Here is a 3,467-nt window from a genome sequence, read left to right on the forward strand (position 1 = left end):
AGATAAGCTTATCAGGTTAAGAAATTTGTCTGCTTTTCCTAGTTTGGTATAAAGATTTTAATATAAATGAATGTTGTATTTTACCATCTTATTTTTTTTCCTACATCTGCTAAGGTAATCCTGTGTTTTCCCTTTTTCAATCTCCTAATGTGGTGAATGACATTAAAATACCTTCTATTGTTAAAATATTCTTGCAACGCTGTATAGAACCAATGCCTTTATTCTGTATTGCTGATGGATTTTTGAAAAATATGTAGGTGGACTTAGTTTTCTAAGGGGAATAGAATTTCTAGTATATTTAAACTATTTTGCATGTATGTTCTGAAGGACATTGGTGTGTCATTTCTATACCATCTGGCTACGAGAGGAGCCGACTGAAAGTCACACTGCCGGAGGAGGGGAGAGGTGCTCTTCCGTTTCTGGTGTCTGTAGCCATCTCCAGTGGTAGCTGCAGTGATAATAATGCTGCGGTGCCGACAGTTCTGGAAGGAGCAACAACAGTGATTTCAGCAGCAGCAGTATTGCGGGATCCCCACGATGGAGCAAGGGAAATAATTCTGGAAGCAATGACAATATCAGCTGTGGCTATAGCAGCTGAGATGTGAGTTCTCACGGTGGCAGCTTCAAGGACAGTAGTGATGGTCCAATGGCGCCCAGACCTAGAAATGCACATTTCCTCAGCACCGGCTCCAGATGCTGAGCTTGGACAGCTGACGCCTTGGATCATCTGCCACTGATCTCTGGTCAACATTTTTATCACCCAACACAAAAGAAGCAGAGATTTATCAAGTTACTTAAACAACCTGACCCTTTCATCTTTTGCTACACATACTCTTGTAATTGATCTCTCCATGAATTGTTTTCTGTTTAAAATATCTAGAATGTTTTCTGCTTCCTGACTTGATTCTAATATTGTATAGGTACTAGAAATGGTTCTAGAAATAGATCTTTATAGATGAGAATCTGGAAGTGGTTTGCTGACCTGTTTCAGTCTGAATGAATTCCTGACCTTGTTGTCGGGAGGAGACAGAAACCTGATCATCTGTAGTGTACGGTGGTATCATGATTACTTAAATCATCAAATGTGGTTATTGGGAATGATGTGTTTTTTAAAGTGGTACATGAGAGGTAAAATTGCTATTGTAGTTGACTGTTGCAGTTATAATTTTGTCAACATGGTCTGTAAGAGTGCAATGGATTCGGCCCGGTGTGGTGGCTCACGCCTGTAATCCCAATACTTTGGGAGGCCAAGGTGGGCCGATCACGAGGTCAGGAGATCGAGACCATCTTGGCTAACACAGTGAGACCCCATCTCTACTAAAAATACAAAAAATTAGCCATGTGTGGCGGCACACGCCTGTAGTCCCAGCTACTCGGGAGGCTGAGGCAGGAGAATGGCGTGAACCCGGGAGGCAGAGCTTGCAGTGAGCCGAGATCGCGCCACTGCACTCCAGCCTGGGCGACAGAGCAAGACTCCATCTCAAAAAAAAAAAAAAAAAAAAAAAGAGTGCAATGGAAAGCTGGTAGAAAATGGACATTGTTTAAAGACCAAAACAACCACACTACTTTGCTAATCCCTATCAGCTAAAGCCTAGAGAATATATGAGGTATAGATTTACATGGTGTTTGACTAAGGCATGCAGAATATAATCTTGACATAGGCTAAGTTTATCAACATAGATACATAGAGATTCTGAAGTTAAAGTCTTAGCCCAAGAAGTTAGAAGGGGTGCTCAAGTTTGTTTGTCTGACAGAAACTGTGAATCCACACTGGCCTGCTTATTTTGAGGTTGTGTTGCCAGAGCTTTCCTAGCATAATAAAGAGAGGTGCATACAAAGGAATAGGAATAGTAGGAGGTGGGGGTAAAAATATCAGGTGTGATCCACATGCCAAGCCGACCCGCACTGTGTCCCACAGGAAGCCCAGAAGATGTTTCTCTAAGAAATTAAGGATTCGTTTGTTGGGGAGGGCTGCTGGCATGCTTGAAAAGTACTGTGATGGCTGAATTTTGTGGGCTTGGGGAGATTGCAGATTCTCTGATTTCAAGGGGAATGATGTGATCCTAGAGTTGCAAAGAACAAGTGACAGTGGAGGCGCTTATGCTTTGTGACTGCACTAGAGACAAGGAAGACACAACTAGAATAATGGGGAGCAGGAATGGAGCGGCCAACAGAATATGTGACTGTTAGGGATCTTTGATGAAGGCTGATTCTCAGGGAGTGAACTACATCAGTGACCAACTATTTGTCTTTATATAACTGGGTAATGTGGATGGATTCTAATAAAGGGACTACTTACAGCACAGCAGGAAAGTCACAAAGAAACCAGACAGAAGAGTGTAAGTAGTAAGGGGCCAAGCAGTCACCTGACTAGAGACAGTGCCAGCTTGCCAAGAAGGCACCAGACAGAAGCTGTGATCTTCAGCAAAGGGACACAGTCTGCCTGTGCTGACCCTGCAGGGGCAGAGGTGGGGGATAAACACACTCTTCTCTCACCTATCTTCTGCCACCCCCTCCATTAGCTGAACCCCAATAAAAGCATGAGGGTAAGGGAGATCTCTGAAGTATCCAATTCAGGTGAGCCTCCTAAGGAACAAAGCAGAATGCAGAAAAATTAAGAGTGGGTCTAGGGAATAAAATAGAGATATGCACCAGAGTATGATGATGTGTCTGGGAAAGAATATACAAATACTTTTAAAATTACTAGACAATAAACCTGAGATGACACTAATACAGGTAAATCTCATTTAATGGTAATATATTCCAAGAAATGCATCATTAGGTGATTCTGTGGCTGTGCAGACACCAAAGAGTGTACTTTATACAAACCTAGACAGCGTAGCCTACTACATACCTAGGCTATATCGTACAGCCTATTGCTCCTGGGCTACACACCTGTGCAGCATGTCACTGTGCTGAATACAGTAGGCCAATGGTCCCCAACACCCAAGCCATGGACCAGCACCGGTTCGTGTCCTGTTAGGAACTGGGCACAAAGCAGGAGATGAGTGGCTGGCCAGCCGAACATTACTGCCTGAGCTCCGCCTCCTGTCAGATCAGCAGCAGCATTAGACCTTCACAGGAGCACAAACCCTATTGTGAACTGCCCATAGAAGGGATCTAGGTTATGTTCTCCTTATGAGAATCTAACTAGGCTGGGTGCTGTGGCTCACGCCTGTAATCCCAACACTCTGGGAGGTCGAGGCAGGTGGATCACAAGGTCAAGACAATCCTGGCCAACATGGAAACCCCGTCTCTACTAAAAATACAAAAATTAGCTGGGTGTGGTGGCGCATGCCTGTAGTCCCAGCTACTCGGGGGACTGAGACAGGAGAATCACTTGAACCCGGGAGGCAGAGGTTGCAGTGAGCCGAGATTGTGCCACTGCACTCCAGCCTGGCAACAGTGGGAGACTCAGTCTAAAAAAGAAAAAAAAAGAAAAAAAGAATCTAACTAATGCCTGATGA

General features: G+C 44.1%; 1 long non-coding RNA gene across 1 annotated transcript; it reads right to left on the bottom strand.

Moving 5' to 3' along the window:
* Positions 1 to 202: 202 nt before the first annotated feature.
* On the bottom strand, positions 203 to 2,981 carry LOC107987325 (uncharacterized). Its single transcript, XR_001755427.1, has 2 exons — positions 2,896 to 2,981; positions 203 to 482 (listed from the first exon to the last, which is right to left on the bottom strand). It is a non-coding gene; the product is annotated as an uncharacterized LOC107987325 (long non-coding RNA).
* Between the last annotated feature and the right edge of the window lie 486 nt (positions 2,982 to 3,467).

The sequence above is a fragment of the Homo sapiens genome, chromosome 22 (genome assembly GCF_000001405.40).
Source record: "Homo sapiens chromosome 22, GRCh38.p14 Primary Assembly".
Lineage (NCBI taxonomy): Eukaryota > Metazoa > Chordata > Mammalia > Primates > Hominidae > Homo > Homo sapiens.